We start from the raw sequence: 24908 nt of genomic DNA, 5'->3' as shown, positions 1-24908 counted from the left end.
AGAGGGAGTTTGTATTAGTCATTTTCATGCTGCTGATAAAGACACACCCGAGACTGGGCAATTGGCAAAAGAAAGAGGCTTATTGGACTTAACAGTTTCACGTGGCTGGGGAGGCCTCACAATCATGGCAGAAGGTGAAAGGCACATCTCACATGGTGGCAGGCAAGAGAAGAGAGCTTGTGCAGGGAAACTCCCCTTTTTAAAACCATCAGATCTCATGAGACTTATTCACCATCACAAGAACAGCACAGGAAAGACCTACCCCCATGATTCAATCACCTCCCACCGGCTCCCTCCCACGACGCATGGGAATTGTGGGAGCTACAATTCAAGATGAGATTTGGGTGGGGACACAGCCAAACCATATCAGGGTTTAAATGGGACCCGAGTTTCTGCAGCAGCAGGGGTGGTAACAGGGGCTGGAAAGACCCTGGAATGCAACATGGTGGGGGCTGTGGGACCTCAGGGGTGGGGATCCTGATGTGGCCATTCTCTTAATCCGTAAATCACTTCTGGAGCTCATCCTAGAATCCACCCTCTCATATTGTGGGTTCTCAGCCCCTTGTGTGACTTTCTGCCTAGATGCCTGGAGGGGTCACTGCCCTGGCTGCCCTACCCAGCATGATGCTGCCCCCACCAAGGTGACCTGCTGTCCCAGGTGGATTTCTTTACCCATTCCCTTCATCCCCATTTTCCATGTCCCTCACTCTCACCTCTCTGGCCCTAGAAAATGTTCGGATGTGATTTATGGGCATCTCTATCTGGGGCGTGGACAAGTGCAAGTGTGCACATCTGTTATTCTCGTTTATATTAGTCATACTCTTCTTTTAGGTGCCATTCCATTTACCATTATTTTTAAATTTTGTAGGTGTTGCTTTATTCCTGAGTGTTGAGTGGATGCTTCTAGGGTGGCACTGAAACTCTCTCTGTGCACACCCTGGTGACAAATGCAGGTGGGCTTCAAGACCCCATCTCCACCCATAGGGTGGGTACGACCACTCTGATGCAGGGTCTCTTATGAGAACAAGTAATTGTTCTCATCAGATGGTTTTAAACCAGCAAGAAAGGCTTTATTCAAGATCTTTGCAGTAGGGGAGAGCACCCAGGTCCTCTGCAGCACACGGCAGGAAGGCTGAGAGGCCTGAGGGGCTGCTGAGCAGGTGGGAGAGCCCTGGAGGCCTCAGCAGGGGGCTGGCCCCCTAATCCTCCTCAATGGAGTCAGGCTCCTGCCCTCCCACAGTGCCTGAGGGGCTGGGCCCTTTCTTTCTCGATGCCTCATTTTCCAAGGCAGCTCCCAGGCCTGGAGAAGGACATTTCCTGAGCTGTGGAACTGGCAAGTAGCTGGAAGAAGATTTACACCTTGAAGGGGCAGAGAGAGTTTACAATTTTACGTTTTCCAAAATCAGTGCTCTGGACAGGGGAGGTGGAGGCCCAAGTTAGGAAGAAATCTGTCTGGAGTGAACAAGCCTGGGGGAGTGAACGCCGGCTCGGCCCAAGTGTGGCCGGCAGCCCAGCTGCTGGTGCAGAGGTGTCCTGATCATAGTGCTCCAGCATTGCTGCTCTGGGCCCACTGGCAGGGTCCAGGGTTCCTGTGTCACCACCCAGGGCCCTGACAGCCGGCTGAAGCCCTCACTTTCCTCCACATGCCTGGCTGGGCCGGGAGGCCAAACCCCAGAGGCCACTATTTGAGTCCTTCATCCGTGTTGTCCTCACTGAGCAGTGGAGACTCAGTGGCTGTGTCTAGGAGTGGGCCCCGCCCCAGTGACCCTCACGATGCTCCACACATACACAGGCGGGTCTGCAGGGTGGCCGGGCCCTCCACAGGAGTGTGACCGGCAGAAACCAACACCTCTACTCTGCCCAGGTGCACGCAGGGCAATGTTCTTCATCCTGATGACAGTGCACCCAGCCTGCTGCTGACATGACTTGAGGAAGCTTCAGTCCAGAGGCTGAGGGACCCACACCGGGGCTCCAGCAGCTCACAGTGGGTGGACAGGTCACTGCTGCAGCACCTGAGAGTGGGCAGGTAAGCCTGGGGCACACTTGGTAGTAAGACCCCACTGGGCAGGCATGGGGTGGACACCACCTGCATGTGTCCACCAGGACTGGCAGAGAGTGGCCAGCACATGGTCAGCCGGTTCTGGGTCACGGACAGCTGAGTCCTCCTCTCCATCGATTCCCACTGAGCTCTCCCTCCTGTGGGCTCTGTGCCTCTCTCCTCCTCGCATTGGGTCACACGTGTGGTGTGTCTAACTGTACGTGGGTTGCATAGACACAGATGTCCCTTCAGCGAGGGCCATTGTCTAGGGTGCAAACTGCTGGCTGTGGTCCAAGTGGGGAAGGGCCTCTTGGGTCCATCCTCCCCAGGAAGAAAACTCAACAGTGGTGTTTCAAGTTTTGCTGCATCAGAGCAGCCTCAGCTCTGCAGGCTGGATTCACTTTCTGCAGACTCAGTATCCCTGGGCGTCTGCAGCCCCTCCGTCCTCTGTGGGCCTCACTATTCTGCATGGCATGTTCCTCGTTCACACCTTCTCTGTTTCAGTCAGCTGGTGGAACAAACCCCATTGACTTTTATTCTCTAAAAGGTGGGATTCATCTTCGCTGAGTCAACAACTGAGGAGAACAAAACTCCAGAGAGAAAGAGGAGTAAGAGCTGAGCATGTGGCCGGGTGTGGTGGCTCACGCTGGTAATCTCAGCACTTTGGGGGGCCGAGGCAGGTGGATCACGAGGTCAAGAGGTTGAGACCATCCAGGCCAACGTGGTGAAAACAAAATACAAAAATACAAAAATTAGCCTGGCATGGTGGCGTGCACCTGTAGTCCCAGCTACTCGGGAGGCTGAGGCAGGAGAATCGCTTGAACCTGGGAGGCGGAGGTTGCAGTGAGCCGAGATTGTGTCACTGCATTCCAGCCTGGGCAATAGAGTGAGACTCTGTCTCAAAAAAAAAAAAAAAAAAAAAAAGAAGAAAAACAGAGCTGGGAGTGCACTGCCCTGTTGCCTCCAGGCTGTAATTAAGACGCCTGGCAAGGGTCAAAGTTGTCCATCTCCAAAGCTCCAGCCAATGTGTCTGTCCTTCAAGGAGCCTGGGTCCCAGAGCCACAGTGACCATCTGAGGTGGTGACAGTGGCCAGGCTGTGGCCAACAGGGCTCCCCATCCCCACCATGAACGTTTACCTTTTCCTTCCCTTTTCAAGCGGGCCTTAAAGCACTTCTGGAGGTTAAAGGTTGATTTCGGACATTGACTGAGGGAATCCCAGTGTCCTCTACCTGATTTCCACATCTAAGCAAAGCCTTCCCCGTAGGGCGCCATGAGCTCAGGCTGTCTGGGCACCTGCAGGCCCTGGGGGTTACATGTCACAGGAGAGGAGGGAGGCCTTAATACCAGTGTGAAGGGCCACACCCACCCACCCTGGTCTCCGAAATTCTTCCCTCTCCCTGTCTCCAGGGTGGAGAGGCAGCGAGTCAGGGCTACGATGGCGGAAGGTGGAGGCGACCTCCCTCTGGGCTTCGAATCCAGCCCTCCCACCTGGCAGTCATGGAGCCTCACCAAGCAGTTTAACTCCCAAGTCCCAGATCCCATCTGTGAAGCCAGGTGGTAAGAACTGTGGGTCACTGGGTCTCCTGGGTTCCCAGAGGCCCCCATGGCCATCTCTAGAACAGCAGCTCCCCATGGGTAGCACCTACATTCCCAGGCACAGTCCCACCTGGACACCTCCAGCCCACCCTGGAGCTGCGAGTGAACCAGCACCCTCTCCTGCCTCCTTCCAGGCCTCGGGCCACAGCCTCTCACAGGACCCCTGGGAATCACCCGCATCTATCGCTGTTTACCCACCGGGACCCACCTCCCAGGCTACCTGGGAAAAGCCACGGGATTTATGTGCATCTGGAGAGGCAGCTCCACCTTCCTCACATGAGCGGTCACTAATGATTTGACTTTGTCAGCCTGCAAGGTGGAAAGGAGATTTACTCTCCACAGACTGGACAGTCCTTAGCTTTGCGCTTGTCACATAAATGGCATTTAATAAATGCTCCCTGGACTCAGCACTGCTCCTGAAGGCCTGTATTGTGGTCAAATATCGTTTCTTCTGCAGATGAGCTTATTCTTCTCCTCTCAGGATCAATCCTTTCGCCTTCACCGAGGCATCTGACACTAGCATTTGGAGGAACACCCATTCCTTCCTCTTCTCTCAGCTGCCTTTGGAAATTACCATCCCAAACGTGACTCCCCACAGAGTGGCACTCACTGATCACGGGTCTTAACTTTAAAAGGTTAAAAATAAGTCAAGGCTTAAGGTAAATTAACAGGAGGCGTGGATGTCTGAGCAATGTGGTGAACTGAGTCACAGGACTGCCGGGAGGTTCACAGCTGGGACTTTCCAGGCCTCCCGAACGCAGAGCGCCTGAAGACCTCAGTGGGGCCACAGAGTGTGTTTCAGGTGTGATTTGGGGTCATTTATGCCAATTTTATTCACTTTTATTTTCATCTGGTTTTCTTTCTATATATTACATCATGCATGGCACGTTTATAGTCATCCGTATGACGTCTGTCTCACACAGTGAGTAAAGGAGTACAGCTGTACTTTTCACTCAGCAAAATAGGAAAGAATAAAGATGAGCTTGAAACTCCTTTGGAATCACTACATTATCTGATACTTAGCAAAGGCAATCTGTGAATAACACACACATGTACACACATGATACATATTCATACACAGACACACAAACACGTCTGCTCATATGTGTATACATACATATATAGACACAGGCACATATGCCCTGAAGGTCTGCACGGTGGAAAATACTAGAAATGTTCATTTCTAATTCCTGCCAAGGGCTGAAAACCTGTGTGTCTGAAAAGTCACTTGGCTTCTGTAACCAGAGTTACCAAATTAAAAAATTAAAACTATCCAAGTGTAGAGCCACTAGAATTTTGTGTCAACATTATTTTTTGAACCACCAAACTTTTATGATTTTGTTGCATTTTTAACAATGCTTGAGTCAAATATCTCAAGTAGAAAAAAATCTTCTAAAAAGAAAAAACAATCTAAAATCATGATTTTTTTTTTTTTTTTTTTTTGAGATGGAGCCTCCCTGTGTCTCCCAGGCTGGAGTGCAGTGGCACGATCTCGGCTCACTGCAAGCTCCGCCTCCCGGGTTCACGCCATTTTCCTGCCCCAGCCTCCTGAGTAGCTGGAACACAGGCGCCCGCTACTACATAATCTGTTGTCTCTCCCTCCCCAAAATTGTGTGAATTTGTATGTCATGCATTGATTTCTTACAGTAGTTCCAAGTCCTCTGAAAAAATATCAGAATGTCAGTCAAATACCACAAAACACGTGTGTTTACAGATCCTCCCTTGAAGTTGGGAGTAGTTAGAAATGGTGGGAGCTTGTCCTGGACAAACTCCCTGGTGCCCACGATACCAGTGAGGAAGGTTCATCTCAAAAAACAAAAGCTTTGACAAAACAGAAGCTGCATGAAACGAAGGGACCTTCACTTTTATCCTTAGATAAATGATTTTTTAAAATTTTGTGGGCATATAGGTGTATATATTTATGGGGTACGTGAGATGTTTGGATGTAGGCATGCAGTGTGAAATAAGCACATCACGGAGAACGGGCGCGTCCGTCCCCTCAAGCACTTATCCACTGGGTTACAAACAACCCAACTACACTCCTTAAGTTATTTCAAAATGCACAGTCAAGTTCTTATTGACTTTAGTTCCCCTGTTGTGCTATCAAACACCAGATCTTATTCATTCCTCTATGTTTGCACCCATTAACGGTCCCTGCCTCTCCCGCACCCTGCTACCCTTCCCATCCTCTGGCAACCGTCCTTCCATGCCCATGTCCATGAGTTCAGTTGTTTCAATTTTTAAATCTGACAAATAAGTGAGAGAGAGAATGTTTGTCTTTCTGTACCTGGCTTAGAGAAATCATTTTAAAATTTCTGGCGTGCTTGATGGTGACAATTAACAGCCTGTGAGTCGGGGCTGCTCCAGTGAGGGGTGTGATGAGGCGGAGGCTTCAGCCAGGCAGGTAACGAGGCCCCGACAATGGCCCAGCGGCCACGGGAGCCTGACGAATGCACTGCAGGAAGTCGAGGCTGCACGTCGATGTCCTCACAGCTGAGTGAACGGGTGTGAGACAGAGACGTGCAGATTCCAGTTGTGACTGATGAGAAAAATCACAGATATCACAATTTCCCTATGGGGGAGCAGCAGAGTGAGGACGTGGCGCGGAGGAGGGACAGACACACCTGCACACGCACCCCGGGACCCAGTGCGGAGGAGAGACACGGCGGGACGGGCAGCCATGTGTGCTCACCCCAGGACCTGGCGCGGAGGCAGGAACAGACACACCTGCACACGCACGGTGGGACGGGCAGCCGCACGCTCACCCTTGTGTCCTCATATTCCCTGCTGGAACACAAGGATTTTGCAACTATCATGTGAGTGTGCATGAGTGTGAATAAGGTGTGACTTGTGCAAGAGCCCATGTGTGTGAGTGTGTGTGTGCAGTGAGCATGGCTCTGTGTGCAAATTGACATGAGAGAGTGGGTGTGTGTCGCTGTCCAGCTGAGAGGGTGGGGAGAGGTGCCCATGAGGGCCTGAGAGCAGCGAGGCCAGGGAGGAACCCTAATCTCTCACCTGCAGGTGACGTGGGCCTGCCAGAGCCCCGTCGATCTTGGAACGGAGCTGGGGAGGAGAGTCTGCCAGGCCTCCCTTCCCCTCCTTCTGCCCACTGGGATTGCTCCCGAAGGAAGAAGAACCCATCAAGTCCCCTTGTAAATGTGCTGGGGAGAGAAACCCTGACAATACCTGGTACTCACTCCTGGGGAGCCACTGTCTACCCCCTGCCCTCTCTCAGGTGACCCCGGCTCTCGGGTGGTCTTGGTACTGTGAAGTTTCTGGGCTTAGGTCTGTGGCACCTGGAAAATGTCGCGTATAAGTGAAATGATCTTCAAAGCCCAAGAGGAAATGTTCCAGGCACCCCTCAGAGACCCTATGAGGCAGGAAGGACAGGGGGACTACGATGGTCCCCAGCTTCTCCAGCTCGACCTCTGCCTGGAAATTACTCCCCGAAATCGTTAGCAGAGCTGGTTGCTGGGTCAGTTCTGTGATCTGTGGGACTCTACCCTTAATGGCTTCATTTACTTACATGGATCTAACCTTATATTTATCTATGTAAAGAAATAAATTTGTCATTTGTTAGATTCACCTGTGGATGAGATACCTTTATTTATTATTATTAGTATTTTTTGAGACGGAGTCTCGCTCTGCTTTTTTTTTCTTTTTTTTTTTTGAGACGGAGTCTTGCTCTGTCACCCAGGCTGGAGTGCAGTGGCACCATCTCAGCTCACTGCAACCTCCGCCTCCCCGGTTCATGCCATTCTCCTGCCTCAGCCTCCTGAGTAGCTGGGACTACCGGCGCCCGCCATCATGTCCGGCTAATTTTTTTTTTAATATTTGTAGTAGAGATGGGGTTTCACCGTGTTAGCCAGGATGGTCTCAATCTCCTGACCTCTTGATCTGCCCGCCTCGGCCTCCCAAAGTGCTGGGATTACAGGCGTGAGCCGAGATATCTTTTTAAGAATATTTTCCTAGCCATTAAAGAACATAAGTCAGTTTTCTTTTTTCATTTCCCTATTGCTATGTGACAAAAGGTAATATTCTATACTTTTTGTATTAGAGGACTTTAAATTACTGATATGTTAGATGACTTCTAAAGTCTTTGACATATTCTGAATGAACAATGTGAGGCCCAGGTTAAAAAGATCAACAATTAAGTCACAGGGTGTGTGTTCATAAGGTGACCTCCTCTTATTTTCTTGTTGCCCATTTGCGATTGCCTGAGAAGGAAGATCTCATGCTGTGTTCTCACCATGGGCACAGGCACAAGGAAGCCTCCAGGAGGTGTAGAATTCCTCAATTGCTTTGATTTGGTGATGATTTCATGGGTGTTTGCTCATGTCAAGCCTCACCAAAGTGTACACATTGAATGTCTGCAGCTCTTTGTATATCAATTATACCTCAAAAAAGCTGAAACACTTTTACACTTGAAATAATTGAGCTGACATTTCCATCTAAAGGTATACAAAGCCATCGCCTACATAGCTGTTTTTTCCATGACAGTCTCATTTAGAAGAGAAACAAAACAAAATTATGAAGTCAATACCCTTTAATTTTAAAGGGTAACTGAAGCAGTGTAAGGTTCTCTTAGGTCAGCACTCAGACTCTCCCCTGTGATTATTCTGTGGTTAACCGCTTGGTAGATCTGTAGTGATTCAGAAAGATAAATTATCTTCAACACACGAAAGTTCGGTCCTCTGGCATGTACGAATCCTGGTGTAGTTTTTACACAATGTTCTGCTGGGGATGCATGGGGAGAAGCTGTGATAACAGGATCGGGATTTATTCATGCTTCATTCATCTGTGAGGCCTGCGATGGCCTGGCCCAGTGCGGGCTGAGCCTCCAGCGCAGAGCACCAGACACTCCACCCTCCCTGAACCACTTGTGTGGATGGAGGTGAGACGCCCAGACCAGGAGGCTGTGCATGGAAGGTCGGGCTCCAGGGAACCTGAGATGAGATAAGACTGTGCGGACGGGGCTGGTGGAGGTGGTGCCTCCCAGGCTGGGGAGGCTTAAAGATGAATCCTGGTGACCCTGGCCCTGAAAAACTGCCATGTACCTTTTGTAGAAGACTGTCCATGAAAACAGACTCTCAGAAGCAAAGAGGGGCCTCGACAAGCCCCCCCCACCCATGTGCAATGCCAGGTCTTACTCTCTCCACCCCCGAAGGGAGTGTCCTCTTCACCTCTCTGGTCCTCCTTCCCTTGCCTTGTTTGCAACTGTCCACTCAATTACTGCAGCCCCAAACATTCTTTTTGACGTGGACTATTGTAAGCTCAACAGGACTGAATTAATTAGCAGCATATGTTTTTGCTGCTCCACTCACACACTCTCTGAGACCCATTCACATCTCCGGAGGTCCCTCACTCGCCTTGCGCTGGCTGACTCCACTGAGGGACTTGCTGGGATGTCCTCAGCTGTCTGCGGTGAACATGCATTTGGATCTCTTCCCACTTGGGTTTGTGCAAACGTGACACCAGGTGCATCTGAAATATGCCACGTGTCCAGGTGCACACAGGCCATGTGCAGCTCCCTGACACCTCTGCGGCAGGAGAGCAATGAGGCCCAGGGTGAAGTGGGGAGGTGTGGGTGTGGGGTCAGGCTGGGGTGGGGGAAAAACACTGGATTCTGGGCCTTATCTGAGGGCTGAGCAGCAGGCGTCATGGCAGATCAGATCTGGTGTTGAACTGGCCCAATTTTCCCGTAGAACTGATGTTCATGGTTTCTCTGAGTAACATAGAAATGGATCCTTGTGGTCTTGAAACTTGAGAAATTGACATTTGTCTTATTTGGGTTCCTTTCTCAGGAAACTGACCATCAGGCCTCCCAGGTAGTGTGAAGGAACAGAGACTCACCAGATCATGGCATCTGGACAGTGAGACGCCAGACCCCTCACCCGTCATGAGTGCCTGACCAGCCGCCTGTCTCCTCCTGACCAACTTCTCTTCCTCACTCTCTCTAATTCCTGTTTTCCTTATACATAGTCACATTTCTTCCCTACTATGTAGTCAGTCAGGAAGATGGATTTGAGGCTGATCTCCCATCTCCTGGGCTGCCACTCCTGATGAATGCCTTCTTCATTGGCAGTAACCATTGTCTCAGTGATTGGCTTTTTGTGTGGTGAGCAGCGGGATCTGGACCAAACCCGTGCATTTCAGGAACAGGGAGAGCAGCCTCAGCAGGCCCCCTGCCCTGAATGCAGTCATGACCACCAGGGACCCATACCAGTCACCCTGGGAGGTGAGTGTGGATGGGAAGAAAAGGCTCCTGAGGACCCAGCCAGGAGAATTCCTGTAACATCACGGAGAATCACTGCCACCTGGTGCATGCCCCTCTTGAAGGGCAGCTGCAAGATTCATCTCATTTGTCTTCCTTTTCTGGACATCTTCAAATTTCCTTCACCACAACTTTGTGATCCTCAGATTCCATCAAGATGTGCATTGTTTTACTATATTGCTTTAACTTACTCTGCCAGGTATCTGGAGAAAAGCAACCTCATTTGCAGAAATTATTTCCTCCCTGACGCTTTTTAAATCTGTAATTTCTGATAGCCAGGTACTGAGCCCCTTCAATTGATGTTCAGTTCCATGCTCCCAGGTAGATTATATCAACTCAAAGTCCAACGCTCTTATGAAATATTTTTGTGTTTTTTTCTTAGTTTTAGGAGGTTTTTGTGTGTGTGTGCTTTTGTTTCGTGGAAGTGACATCCTTTGTCTTTGACTTTTGGGAGCCTTCCTCCTTCAGTCTGCATGTACTAAAGCCAGTGCTTGCTGTACAGCCTCTCAGCTGCAGCAACCCACAGTGAGGTGCAGGTGCTCACACCATCACCCCAGAGAGCTCCTCCATTCGTCCCTCCACCCGTAGCTCCTCAAAACCCCCGCCCTGCTCCCCAGCACGGTAGCACCGTCTTCTCCAAGATATCATGTGGCGGCATCCTTTGGCCTATGCCCACCGAAACTAGCTTCCTTCACCGGGTGTGTGACCTGGGAGAGCTGGTGCATCACGGGCGCATCTTTCCACTGCTGGCTGGTGCCCCCATGTGGAAGCATCCGCGTTGGTTCACACCTTCTCCTGCCGATAGACATTTTGTTTTCTTCCAGTTATTGGCAGCGAGGAATAAGCCCAGCCTAAACACTTGTGTGCGGGTTTATGTGTGCACGTTTAAGTTTTCTCTTGGGGGGAGTTCCAGGAGTGGGGTTGCTGGATGACGTGGTAAGGATGTGCTTAATTTAATAAGAAACTCCCAGACCACTTTCCAGCATGGCGGGACCCCTCCCATTCCCACCGCAGCTTATGAGGGTCCCAGGTCCTCTGCATCATCACTGGAACCTGGACTGGCCAGTGTTTTTTGTCTGTTTTTAGCCATTTTAATAGATTTGCAGAGGTACTGTTGATTAGCATTTCTCCAACATCTCTGTGATGCTGAGTGTCTTTCTCGGGCAATATGCCCTCCTTATCTATTCTTTGATGAGGCTCCATTCAAATATTTGCCTTCTCTTTAATACTGGGGTTTTTACTTTCTTATGGTTAAGTTTTGATGGTTCTTCGTATATTCCGCGTGCCAGTACTTTGTGAGATGTGTGATTCACAAATACTTTTTTCTAGACCATAGTTTGTGTTTTCATTCTCTTTAGATTTTTTATATTGCTTTATAGAATTTTAATTTTAAATTTATGACTAAATTTAATTTGTCAATCTTTTCTTTTATGAATCATGCTTTTTGTGTCATGTCTAAGAACTTCTTGCCTAACCCAAGGCGATACAAATTTTCCCCCATGTTTTTATCTAAAGGTTTTATAGCATTCTGTTTTCCATTTAGGCCTGTGATAAATGTTGAGTAACATTTTGTGTCAGCCATGGCCATAATATTTTTTGTCTCTGACAGTATCATGGGCATTTGCAGCTCCCCACATCCTATGCAGTTCCCATCTTCTTGGTCCGGTCTTCCTGTGAGTTTCAGGGGATGTCTTAGTGCTGGTGCTGTCCTGGTCCATCGAGGGGTCCCGTGGGCTTGTCCGTGTGGGAAAGTCAGGACTGTGATGTTGACGGGATGCCCTGTGAGTCAGGGGGAGATGCTGATGGGGGTTTCCATGTAGGAGAGAGAGGTGTTTGGTTTTCTGGATGGGGCAGACTTGAGAGGGGACAAACTTGAGAAATGCCAACAATGAGAGGCCCAGGCAGAGCAGGTCTCGGGGCTGCCCAGCCATGTGGGCACCAAACGTGGATGTGTCAGTGGCCACGCCAGGAGGTAAACCCTCAACCGTGGACCTCTGGGTGTCCAAGACCAAGTCTTGTTCAAGAGGTGCATTCAGCTGAGCCAACCATGGCAGAAATATATAAAGGAGATCCCACGGTTCCTTTGTTTAAATCCCCTGCTAATCCCACCTGACTCAGAGAAGGCGCCAAGTCCTCACAGCAGCCTGCAACCCCACCCTGACTCCACCTCCTCTCGGCTCTAATTCTCCATGTTCTTCTATCCTCTCTGTCTCCTCTCCCACCAGAGAGGAGATCCTGCACATTCATACTGGTGGATTCAAACCCATCTTTGCCATACAGATAGTCACTGGAATGGATAGGCATAATCTATAAATAGTCCTCTTGTAAAAGAAAAAGGCAGGCTGGGCATGGTGGCTCACACTTGTAATCCCAGCACTTTGGGAGGCTGAGGCAGGAGGATCACCTGAGTTCAGGAGTTTGAGACCAGCCTGGCCAACATGGTGAAACCCCATCTCTAGTAAAAATACAAAAATTAGCCAGGTGTTGTGGTGTGCGACTGTAATCCCAGCTACTTGGGAGGCTGAGGCAGGAGAATCACTTGAACCCAGAAGGTGGAGGTTGCAGTGAGCTGAGATCATGCCACTGCACTCCAGCCTGGGCGACAGAGTGAGACTCTGCCACAAAAACATAGTAATAGTAATAATAAAAGAAAAAGGCAAAAATTCATACCACTTTACAGAAACTGGGCAAAAGATTTGAACCAGCCCTCCACAGAAAAGGAAATGTGGAGGAATGGCTAATAAAAAACATGAAGAGGGTCTCAGGCTGACAGGGGGAGATATCACATGACACCCACAAGACTGGCAAAAATCCCACAATCCAATCAATGCAAGTGTTGGGGAGAATGGAGAGTAGCAGGAACACCAGGCACTGCTAAGAATGGTTGTGAAATTTATTTTTGTTATGCTTGTATATGAAAGGGTGTGTGTTGTGGGTTATGGGGAAAATTACGTTTCTTACCTGGGATGAAATTTTAAAAATTGAAAGCTACTGACCAGAAGAAAGTTGCACTTGTGTACAAAAGAAATGCCCAAGAATGTTCCTAGCAAAACACACTCCTAAGGGCCCCAACCTGGACAAACACTCATGAATAGGGAAATGAAGACATTTCCCATGCTCCCCTCATATGACAGGAGATCACGCAGCAATGAACATGAATCATGTCAATGTGGGTGGGTCTCAGGAAGAGAATGGAGGACAAAAATAGACACTGAGCAGATGCTCAGAGCCATGCAGTGTAGGAGCAGCCACACAGGAGAATTTCTTCACATCAAAGTTCAAAACTACAGCCAAGGCAACAGAGAAAGACCCTGTCTCAAAAAGACAACAGAAAGTTCAAAAACTAAATGGCATATCTTTTAGGGATGTACACATATGTGGTGAAAGAAATGTACTATGAAGAAAAGTATGGCAATAATAAAGACTAAAGCAGGAAATGATTCCCTCTGTAGGAGAAGGGAAGGGGCTGGGACTCAGTCAGGGCCTCCAGGGAGCATCTAAAGTTATGTCTCTTCAGATTCTATTCCCTAAACTTGGTGGAGGTCCTCTGTGTCCAATGTGTCGATATTCTTTATACCTTACCATATTGTACAAATGCTTTATTTCCATTCAATATTTAGAAGACAGTTATAAACAAGATGCATTAAATAGCAAGACAGCAGATGAACATCAGGAAGGAACATCAGGAACATCCATGAGGTTCCATCCACGGAATCTCACCATGGATATGCTTGTGATCAAAGGCCTGGTCTCCCCTCAAGACGCAGTCAGAGATCAGAGGCTGCACTCATCATAGCAGTGGAGCAGGACCAGCTGGGACAGGGTCCTTCTGTGACACCTGCCGCATCACCAGGCTGTGTGAACAAACTCAGCTGCCAGAACTCACAGAATATCAGTATCAGCACCAAAAACTCACAGGAAAAATGGTAAGTTCTACGTTTCTCCATTAATAGTAACTCTCAGATTAATCTCTGTTATCCATCGCTTCTCCATGAAATAACTTTTTATAGGTTTGCATTGATGTATTTTTCAATTTATATTTCATTTTACTGATTGAAACAATATATATTGTGTGTGGTGTGTGATTTTGTCTCTGTCAGGATAATCATAGTTTAATTTCTATTATTATTATACCAATATCATTTAGTTTTTTTTTAAGCTTTTCAATTTCTGAGGGTATTAATCAGGGTCTTTCTGTCTTGTGAGACAGAAACCAAATCCAAACTGTGTAAGAGAAAAAAGAATGCGTTGATCACGAGGACTGAGAAGTTCCCAGGATTAACTTGCTTGGGATTCAGCTACATCTACAGTTTCAAGTGGCATCCTGTAACTCTGTCTCTCTCTACTTCCCCAACAGTAGCTCCATGTTTAGCTCCACAAACTTCAGACTTGAACAGCATCACTGGCTCCTGACCAGGACTCCAGCTCCATGAACCTCAAACTAGAACACCAGCCCACCTTCTCCACATGTGTACGGCTCCAAAACCTAAGACATCAGTGGCAGTACTTACTCCTCCCGGGGGCTCCAGTTCCAGGACCCTCAGACTTGAACCACAGCACCAACTCTTCCCTGGATCTCCAGCTCCATGACCCTCAGACTTAAACAACAGCAGCACCAGCTCATCCGTGGGTCTCCAGCTCCACGACCCTCAAATTAGAACTACACCAGCTCCTCCCCAGGTCTCCAGCTCCACAACCCTCAAACTAGAACAACATCAGCTCCTCCCAGGGTCTCCAACTCCATGACCCTCAAACTAGAACAACAGTGCTCACCCCTGGATCTCCATCTCCACAAACCTCACACTAGAACACCAATACCGGCTCCTCTACAGCTCTTCAGCTCCACAACCTAAGACATCAGTGGCAGCATTGGCTCCTCCCATAGATTCCAGCTCTAGGACCCTCAGATTGAACTGCAAAACCACCTGCTCCCTGGAACTCCAGCTGCACGACACTTAAACTAGAACAACATCAGCTCCTCCGCGGGTCTCCAGCTGCACGACCCTCAAATTAGAATATCAGCTCCTCCCAGGGTTTCCAGCTGCATGAACCTCAAACTAGAACAACATCAGCTCCTCCCCGGTCTCCAGCTGCACAATACTGAAACTAGAGCATCAGCTCCTCCCAGGGTCTCCAGCTGCATGACCCTCAAACTAGAACATGAACTCCTCCCAGGGTCTCCATCTACTCGAGCCTCAAACTAGAACAACATCAGCTCCTCCCTGGGTCTCCAACTCCACGATCCTCAAACTAGAACAACGCCACTCACCCCTGGATCTCCAGCTCCACAAACCTCACACTAGAACAGCAACACTGGCTCCTCCATGGGTGTCCAGCTTTACAACCTAAGACATTAGTGGCAGCACCATCTCCTCCTGGGGGCTCAAGCTCCAGGACCCTCAGACTTGAACCGCAGCACCAACTCTTCCCCGGATCTCCAGCTTGACGACCTTCAGACTTAAACAACAGAAGGATCAGCTCCTCCCTGGGTTGCCAGCTACATGACCCTCAACTAGGATACCATCAGCTCCTCCCTGGGTCTCCAGCACCATGACCCACAAACTAAAACACCAACACTGGCTTCTCCACGGGTCTTCAGCTCCACAACCTAAGACATCAGTGGCAGCATTGGCTCCTCCCATAGATTCCAGCTCCAGGACCCTCAGATTTGAGGACCCAGTCACTCAAACTAGAACAACACCAGCTCCTCCCCAGGTCTGCAGCTGCACAACCCTCAAACTAGAACATCAGCTCCTCCCAGGGTCTCCAGCTGCAAGACCCTCAAACTAGAACATCAGCTCCTCCCAGGGTCTCCAGCTGCACGAACCTCAAACCAGATCTTCAGCTCCTCCCCAGGTCTCCAGCTACACGACCCTCAAACTAGAACATTAGCTCCTCCCTGGGTCTCCAGCTCTACAACCATCAAACTAGAACACCATCAGCTCCTCTCCGGGTCTCCAGCTCCACGTCTCTCAAATTAGAACAGCATCAGCTTCTCCCCGGGTCTCCAGCTACATGACCCTGAAACTAGAAAAACACCAGCTCCTCTCTGGGTCTCCAAGCTCCACGACCCTCAAACTAGAACAACGTCAGCTCCTCCTCGGTCTCCAGCTGCACGACCCTCAAACTGGAAAAACAGCAGCAAACTAAAAAAACTCCCTGGATTTTTCTAGTTTGAGGGTCATGCACCTGGACACCTGGGAAGGAGCTGATTTTAATCTAGTTTGAGCGTCATGAGCTGGACACTCAGGGAGGAGCTGGTGTTTTTCCAGTTTCAGGGTCATGGAGCTGGACACCCAGGGAGGCGCTGGTTTTCCTCTAGTTTGAGGGTCTTACAGCTGGAGACCCGAGGAGGAGCTGACGTTGTTCTAGTTTGAGGGTTTGTGTAGCTGGAGATCTGGGGGGAGGAGTGTTTTTCTAGTTTGAGGTCGATTGAGGGTCAGCTGCATGACCCTCAAACTAGAGAAACACCAGCTGCCCCCTGGGTCTCCAGCTCCACAAACCTCAAACTAGAGCAACATCAGCTTCTCCCCTGGCCTCCAGCTCCGTGACCCTCAAACTAGAACAGCGTCAGCTCCTCCTCAGGTTTCCAGCTCCATGACCCTCAAACTAAAACAACATCAGCTCCTCCTTGGAACTCCAGCTCCACGACCCTCAGACTTAAACAAGAGCAACATCAGCTCCTCCTTGGATCTCCAGCTCCACGACCCTCAGACTTAAACAAGAGCAGCACCAGCTCCTCCACGGGTCTGCAGCTCCATGACCCTCTAACAAGGAAAACATCAACTACTCCCTGTGTCTCCAGCTCCATGACCCTCTGATCAGTAAAACATCAACTCCCACCTGAGTCTCCAGACGCAGAAGCCTCAAACTAGAACAACATCAGCTCCTCCCCAGGTCTCCAGCTGCACGACCCTCAAACTAGAACATCAGCTCCTCCCTGCATCTTCAGCAGCACAACCCTCAATCTAGAACATCAGCTCCTCCCTGCATCTTCAGCAGCACGACCCTCAAACTAGAACATCAGCTCCTCCCTGCGCCTTCAGCAGCACGACCCTCAAACTAGAACATCAGCTCCTCTCCAGGTCTCCAGCTGCACGACACTCATACTAGAAAAATGCCAGCTCCTCCCGGGTTCTAGAGCTACAGGACTGTAGAACTAAAAAACACCTGCTCCTCCCCAGGTCTCCAGCTGCATGAACCACAAACTAGAACAACACCAGCTCCTCTTTGGGTCTCCAGCTGCAGGGCCCTCAAACAAAAACATCAGCTTCTCCCCGAGTCTTCAGATGCACGACCCTCAAACTAGAACATCAGCTCCTCTCCGAGTCTCCAGTTGCAGGAAACTCATACTAGAAAAATGCCAGCCCTTTCCGAATTCTACAGCTGGACGACCCTCATATTAAAAAACACTCTCTCTTCCCCAGGTCTCCAGCTGCATGAACCTCAAATTAGAGCAACATCAGCTCCTCCTCGAGTCTTCAGCTGTGCGATCTTCAAACTAAAACATCAGCTCCTCTCTGGCTCGCCAGATGCAGGACACTCATACTAGAAAAATGCCAGCTCCTCCAAGGTTCTACAGCTGCACGACCTTCAAACTAAAAAACACCCACTCCTCCCCAGGTCTCCAGCTGCACAAACCTCAAACTAGAACATCAGCTCCTCTCTGGGTCTCCAGCACCAAGACTCTCAAACTAGAGCAACATCAGCTCCTCTCTGGGTCTCCAGCTGCAGGACACTCATACAAGAATAATGCCAGCTCCTCCCAGGTTCTACAGCTGCACAACCCTCAAACTAAAGAAACACCAGCTCCTCTCTGGGTCTGCAGCTGCACGAACCTCAAACTAGAACAGCAGCTCCTCTCCGGGTCTCCAGCTGCACGACACTCCTACTAGAAAAATGCCAGCTCCTCCCAGGTTCTACAGCTGCACGACCCTCAAACTAAAAAACACCCGCTCCTTCCCAGGTCTCCAGCTGCATGAACCTCAAACTAGAACACCAGCTCCTTTCTGGGTCTCCAGCTGTAGGACACTCATACAAGAAAACACCAGTTCCTCCCCAGGTCTTCAGCTGCAAGACCCTCAAACTAGAAAAACACCAGCTCCTTCCAGGTTCTACAGCTGCACGACCCTCAAACTAAAGAAACACCTGCTCCTCCCAGAGTCTGCAGCTGCACGACCCTCAAAGTAACAAACACCAGCTTTTCTCTAGGTCTCCAGCTGCAAGACCCTGAAATTAGAAAAACACCAGCTGCTCCCTGGGTCTCCAGCTCCACAACTCTGAAACTAGAAAAACACCAGCTCCTCCCCAAGTCTCCAGCTCCATGACCCTCCAATTAAAAAAACATCAGTTTCTCCCAGGTCTCCAGCTGCATGACCCTCAAATTAGAACACCTCTCCCCACTGGATCTCCAGCTCCACGACCCTCACAGAAGAACAGCAACACCAGCTCCTTAATTGGTCTTCAGCTCTACAACCTAAGACATCAGTGGCAGCACCGGCTCCTCCGTGAACCTCCAGCTCAATGATTTTCAGACTTAAAATGCAGCACCATCTCCTCCCCAAGGCTCCATCTCCACTACCTTCAGATTTGAACAGCGGTAGCACCAGCTCCTGTCCGGACCTTCAGCTCCATAACCCTCCCTGAACAATCCCTTTTCATGAAATTCAGCAGTCAAGAAAACTGCAGCTGAAGTAAATGAATAAATGTTTCTTTTTCAGATCGATGTCTCTTTTATGGTCATGCAAGTCAGTTAACTTTTCTACTTTCCATTAACCTTACGATCTACTTATGTCCAATGTGAGATACAAATGAACCATTTGAAATGATATTTAAAAACTTAGTAATATTTTTAATATGATCATCACACAGCTATAGACATGATCTTATTTCTCTCTGCCTGTGCAGAAGTCTTATGAAAACTCAAACTATGCACTTACTTTGTTGAGATTCCCAGAATACACATTAATCCCAAATGTTACTCCTCTCCTTAAAATTTTATTTTATTTCTTTTGCACCTGTTATAAAAGGGATTGAGTTCTTGATTTGATTCTCAGCTTGGTCGCTGTTTGTGTATAGCCGTGCTACTGATTTTTCTACACTAATTTTGTATCTTGAAGCTTTATTGAATTCATTTATCAGATTCAGGGGCGTTTTGGATGAGTCTTTAGGGTTTTCTAGGTGTACAATCATATCATCAGCGAAGAGCGACAGTTTGACTTCCTCTTTACCAATTTGGATGCCCTTTATTTCTTTCTCTTGTCTGATTGCTCTGTCTAGGGCTTCCAGTACTTTGTTACATAGAAGTGGTGAAAGTAGACATCCTTGTCTTGTTCCAGCTCTCAGGGGGAAAGCTTTCAGCTTTTCCCCATTCAGTATAATGATTGGTTGTGGGTTTGTCATAGATGGCTTTTATTACCTTAAGGTATGTTGCTTCTAGGCTTATTTTGCTGAGGGTTTTAATCATAAAGGGATGCTGGATTTTGTTAAATGCTTTTCCTGCATCCATTAAGATGATTATGTGATTTTTGTTTTTAATTCTGTTTACGTGGTGTATCGTATCTATTGACTTGTGTATGTTAAACCATCTCTGCATCCCTGGTATGAAACCCACTTGATCATGGTGGATTATCTTTTTGATATGCTGTTGGATTTGGTTAGCTAGTATTTTGTTGAGGATTTTTGCATCTATGTTCATCAGGGATATTTGTCTGTAGATTTTGTTGTTGTTATGTCTTTTTTTATGCACATACAGGTGTTCATAGTAGCATTGAATGATTTTTTTGTATGTCTTTGTATGCCTGTGGTATCTGTTGTAATATCTCCCACTTCATTTCTAATTGAGCTTATTTGGATGTTTCCCCTACTTATTCTCCAACTCATTGCTTTGCTTAGTTCCCATAGTACTTAGCACAATAAGCACTTTGATTACTTTTTCACTTGTTTAGTACATGTACATTCCTTCCTAGAGAGTAAGTTCCTTTGGGTAGAACCTTCTTTTGCTCTCTCTTATACCTTCAATGTGGTGTTGAATTTACAATTTGAGTATAGAATTGAATAAAGAAATATTGTTAATATAAGGATCCTAAAATCAAAATGTAAATGTCTAGCAAAATGGAAAACTACTACATGTTAGTTAATTAGCCAAAATTTAATAAAATTAAAACATAGTCAACATAGCAAACTACAGGAAATAAAGGCAAGGATAAGTGAGAATCAAAATCAAGAAGCATAAATGAATCTGACACTTTTGTAGCTAAACATATTAGTTATTGCAATGAGCAAAAATGGGTCAAATTACCTATGTGAAAGTTGACTTAGAATAAATTTTAAAAGTTTCCAGTTACATTTTGATTATTAAAGATACATGTCAAACTAAATGACGTGATTATTTCCTTTTATTCAGATTATAAACTTTTATTTCATAAGTATTTTGAAAGGCCCAAAGAATAATTTCCTTTTGGAATTATGACCTCCAAATAGATTTTTTTTATGACAGAATTTTCTTCATTTGTGATCAAACTATTTCCTAATGTATTTGAACCCATTAGGCTTTAAGCAGGGTGGGTTATGGGAAGTTTCAACTCGGGCTCAAGTATTTTTGATATGCAAGGGATGGACTGACTTTCAGGTGTGTAATTTTGAAGGTTTGGTAGTTACCTGTGAATGGGCAGCCCATCATTCTTCTGGCCTCTCTCAAGTAGCTCCGAAGCTCCTCCCATAGACATCCAGCCCATAAGATAACAAGGCAGGACCTCTCGCCCGTGCAGTTGTGTTACCTTTGCTTGTACTCACAGGGCATATTTCTACCAATCCCTTGAACAACGAATGGACCCAGGAATATTTTAGGATTTAGGCTGCCTCCCTCACCCACCGTCTTTCTAAATGAATGGGACCTGTAACCCTTTACTCTCCCCTGGGCTGGAGAATCTATTCTTCCACTGCCAGATCTGTGGTTAGGAGGTGGCTTTGATCTTACATTTCTTTTATTCACAAATTGGTGAGTCCGTGTTCTTTAATGTAGAGAGATACTCAGAGGAGATGGTGTTTTTAGTCGTTATTTTAGAAATAGTAGGCAGAATAATGTTCACCACCCATATCCCAAAGATGTCCATATCCTAATCCTGGAGGCTATGGATATTTTAGGTTAAACAGTAAAAGAAAACTGAGGTTGTTTTTGGCTGACCATAAAATAGAAAGATTATCCTGGATTATCTGGGTAGGCCCAATGTAATCATAAGGGTCCTTCAAAGTAGAAGAGGGAGAAGGAAAAGGGGACGGTGTGAGAGACAGGTGTGACTACAGAAGGTTGGAGTGATGCAATGTGAGAAGAACTCGACCTGAAGTTGCTTTGAATATGACAAAAAGGGGCCACAAGCAAAAGGGTTGAAGGCAAGGACATGGATTCTCCTGCAGAGCCTTCAGGGAGGAAGGCAGCCATGCCAACACCTTGATTTTTAGCTGTGTTTGACTTGTAACCTACAGAACTGTTAAATAATATGTTTATTGTCTCAAGCCACTAAGTTCATGGTTCCTTGTTACTACAGCAACAGGAAATGAATATAACCTAGATTAGATAATGCTAACTTTCATTGGGAAACATTCCCAGACTCAATGCTTAACTTTTCACAGTGTAAACTACCATTTGGTTTTTACTTGCTTTTCATAGAAATATAATTGTTTTACAAAAACCGATGCTATCTTTTTGTAAGAAAACATGATTTTTATGGAAGCATTTCTTTTTGAATTTTGGATTTTGTATACTGTGATAAGATGTGCAAGTGGAAGTATTAAGTTGAGGTAGTTATCTACAGGTTTCAATTTTCACCTGGCATCTCTTGAAAATTGACCAAAAAAAGTTACTTCCTGTGAATGGTACACATTAAATGCTATTGCTTTAATCCCTTATTTTATCTTTCTAATTAGATAGTCTTCTACAGAATAGGAAGAAATGAAGAGAACAGATGTTATGCAGATCGTTTCCAGAGAACATATTTTACGTATGTAATTTTAGGAGCAACAGGGGAAACTGGAAGGCCCATCCCCACAGAATCACACCTGCCCCGTGGAGCAGCTGTAACTCTGTATTTGAAACGCTCCACAGAAAAAGGTCATGTACCTCCTCTTGGTAACTGAATGGATTCTATCCTCATGTGCCCTTTCTTCTCCAGTGTGTGTGAGTAAGCATGTTTCAAATTGCTCTAGGTACCATTACTTGCACCCAAGGGAATTTCTATTATGTAAGAGGCCATGCTTAATTAAAGTAGTACAGGCATGCTATTAGTTATGGTTACTGGGGAAAAAAAGAGGTAAAATAAGTCACCTGCAATTTTTCACAAACAAGCAATATGTTGTGTATATAGTGGCACATTGCACTTTTAAAACTGCAAATTACCCATTGGAACTATCTACCCCGAGTCTTAGGTTCCTCTCCTCCTGAGAAATTAATATCTGGATCTACCAACAGGTACTCATCTCAAACACTTGAAAGTGGTGACTTTTTCCCAGCTTCACCCTGAATTCAGAGTTACATTTTTCTCTCATGCCAGGTCCTGCCCAGGCAGCAAGTCTAGAAGACTATCCAATGAAACAGCCCTTACTTTAGCACCAGGTTCACATCACTGCTGCGGGGCCTTGGATCCTTCACTCAGGCTTCCCGAATTCCCAGCATCCAGCCTGATTCTTACTGCCTAAGCCTGGTGACTACTCACTCTGTTTCCTGACCACTAGCGGTAACTTTGTCTCTTGCCTTTATCTCCTGGATAACTTGATTTGTCCTGGGTTCCACAGCCTTGATGCTACCTGGGTCTTATGTTCCTGATTGCTACTCTGGAGGCGACCATATACTTGAATGACAATGTCACAGCTCCAGAATGTCTCTCTCACATTCTCCTGGTAACAAGAATATCTCACGGTAATTATGAATATTACAAGGTGTATTAATCTGCCAGAGCTGCTATAACAGAATGCCAGATACTGGGCAGCATAAACAACAGAAATGAATTTTCTCACAGTTATAGAGGCTGGAAAGTCCAACATCAAGGTTCCAGGAAATTCAGTTTCTGGTGAGGTCCCTCTTCCTGGCTTGCAGGTGGCTGCTTTTTACTCACATGGTTCATGCTCTGAGCACTCATGGGAAGAGACAAAGCGAGCTCTCTGGTGTTGCCTTTTATAAGAACACAACTCCTATTGGATTGGTAGCACATAATTACAACCTCATTTTACCTCAGTTACCTGCCAACAAATCTATCTCCAATACAGTCACACTGGGGGTTAAGACTTCAATATAGGACTTGTGGAAGAACAAAATTCAGTTCATAGCACTAGAATAATCAGTGTTTCGGTCACCTGTATGAAGAACTGTGAAAAGCGCAGGCCTTTTAAAACAAAGCCAGAAATTTTTACTGGCTTCTAACAAGTAACAATTTGAAACCATTAGAAAACAGTTATTTTCCACACACATATAATTTTTTTGTTGTTTAATGCTGCAATAATACTAGGTTCCTTTTCTAGGTTACATTCATGCAGAAGCATTTATCTGCTTTGGTTCTGATATTGTATGAAACAAATTCTGTAAATATGAACTAACCCATGTCCCTTGTCCTTAGCATGTACCAAAGGGAGTCATTGCTTATTGATCAGGGTATTCTTCTCAATAGGGAACAGATGTAGCTTCATATCTGCACCCAGCATTGTAGGCAATCACTGCCAAATAATTGGAACTGGCACTCTTCTGAGGAGAAAGTATTATGGACTTTATAAGATAATAATTAATATATTTTATTCACACAGTGCTTTATATCTTATAAAGTGTTTTCATAGCTATGTTATTTGAACTTCACAAAAACAATGAAATAGAACAGTTATTACTAACTCCATTTTGCTGGTGGAAGTTGAGGCTCAAAAGCTACTTTCCCAAGTCAGTTAGTACACTTCATAATTGGGACTGGAAACTAACATTTATAAACCCTGACTTCAGTGTTCTATCTAAAAAACCACTACCCTTATAAATATACTTGCATAAATATATCCTGGGGGAAAAGAAACCCATGAGCACAGTGACGTCTACTTCAAAGAAAAGAATGTTTGTCCTCCAGGAGGCCTTTTATGACCTTGACATGAGAAAGCTGGCTCTGCCATCGGTAATGTCCATGGGATCTTTATGGAATCCACACCTACAACACAAGATTGCATACATTTGTGGATGTGTCTGTTTCTTCTGGCCAGACTATATTTTTCCTGAAGATTATGATCATATTTCTTTAGCATTTGGCACTCAGATGCTCAATAAATAAATGATAGCAGCTAACACTTATGGAGGGCTTCATATGTGCTGTGCCCTGTTTTAAGTGCTTTTACTTAATTAATTCAATCTTCACAAACACCTTATGAGTATGCGTACACTCCTCTGTACAAGGGAGGAAAGTGAGTCCCAGAAAGGTAAATTACTGTCCCAGAGACACAGCTAAGGGTGCAGTATTACTCCAGAGTCCCTGTTCTTAATCATGACTTGATGTTGCCAGTCAATAAAGGTTTGCTGAGCACGTGATGAGTGGTCTGGAAGACCTCTTAGGCATAATGGGATCTATTTTCTGGGAGGCACATTTACATGACAATCTTCTAAGATTCTCTCATAATCCCCTTTGTTGATGTCTCCACCAAAGAACAAAATCTCCTGGCAGTGAGACTGAATGCAAGCAAATCCAGCTTGCTGGAAAAGGTGAGTATAGATGAGGACAGAATTTGGCTACCAGATATGGAGTAATGTTAAATTCTCTAACTGAATCTCATCATCGCAGCTGCAGGTACTCAAATTAACTGAGGAGCTGAGTACGAACACGACTAAAAGCTTGTTGTTCTGCTCAGGGGGCAATTCAGTGAGGGAGACTGGCACACAAAGATGGTTCTTATGTCTCCTTCCCTGTTAAGCTACCCTTGTGCTGACTTCATGTCACAGCTTCACAAGTATCTGAGCTGCCTGGCTCGACTCTATCTTCCTG

General features: G+C 46.7%; 2 annotated features.

Annotated features, from left to right (window-relative positions):
- Window positions 5738–6272: an enhancer, noted in NCBI's record as "H3K4me1 hESC enhancer chr8:70246461-70246995 (GRCh37/hg19 assembly coordinates)". NCBI's record gives its function as "activates a minimal SCP1, AML or CMV promoter by ChIP-STARR-seq in primed H9 embryonic stem cells {active_cell/tissue: H9 hESC(primed)}" and the evidence as "EXISTENCE:reporter gene assay evidence [ECO:0000049][PMID:30033119]".
- Window positions 6273–6808: an enhancer, noted in NCBI's record as "H3K4me1 hESC enhancer chr8:70245925-70246460 (GRCh37/hg19 assembly coordinates)". NCBI's record gives its function as "activates a minimal SCP1, AML or CMV promoter by ChIP-STARR-seq in primed H9 embryonic stem cells {active_cell/tissue: H9 hESC(primed)}" and the evidence as "EXISTENCE:reporter gene assay evidence [ECO:0000049][PMID:30033119]".

The sequence above is a fragment of the Homo sapiens genome, chromosome 8 (assembly GCF_000001405.40).
Source record: "Homo sapiens chromosome 8, GRCh38.p14 Primary Assembly".
In the NCBI taxonomy this organism is placed as follows: domain Eukaryota; kingdom Metazoa; phylum Chordata; class Mammalia; order Primates; family Hominidae; genus Homo; species Homo sapiens.
Note: the sequence above shows the minus strand (reverse complement) of the source record. Positions and strands in the feature narration are given on the sequence as shown.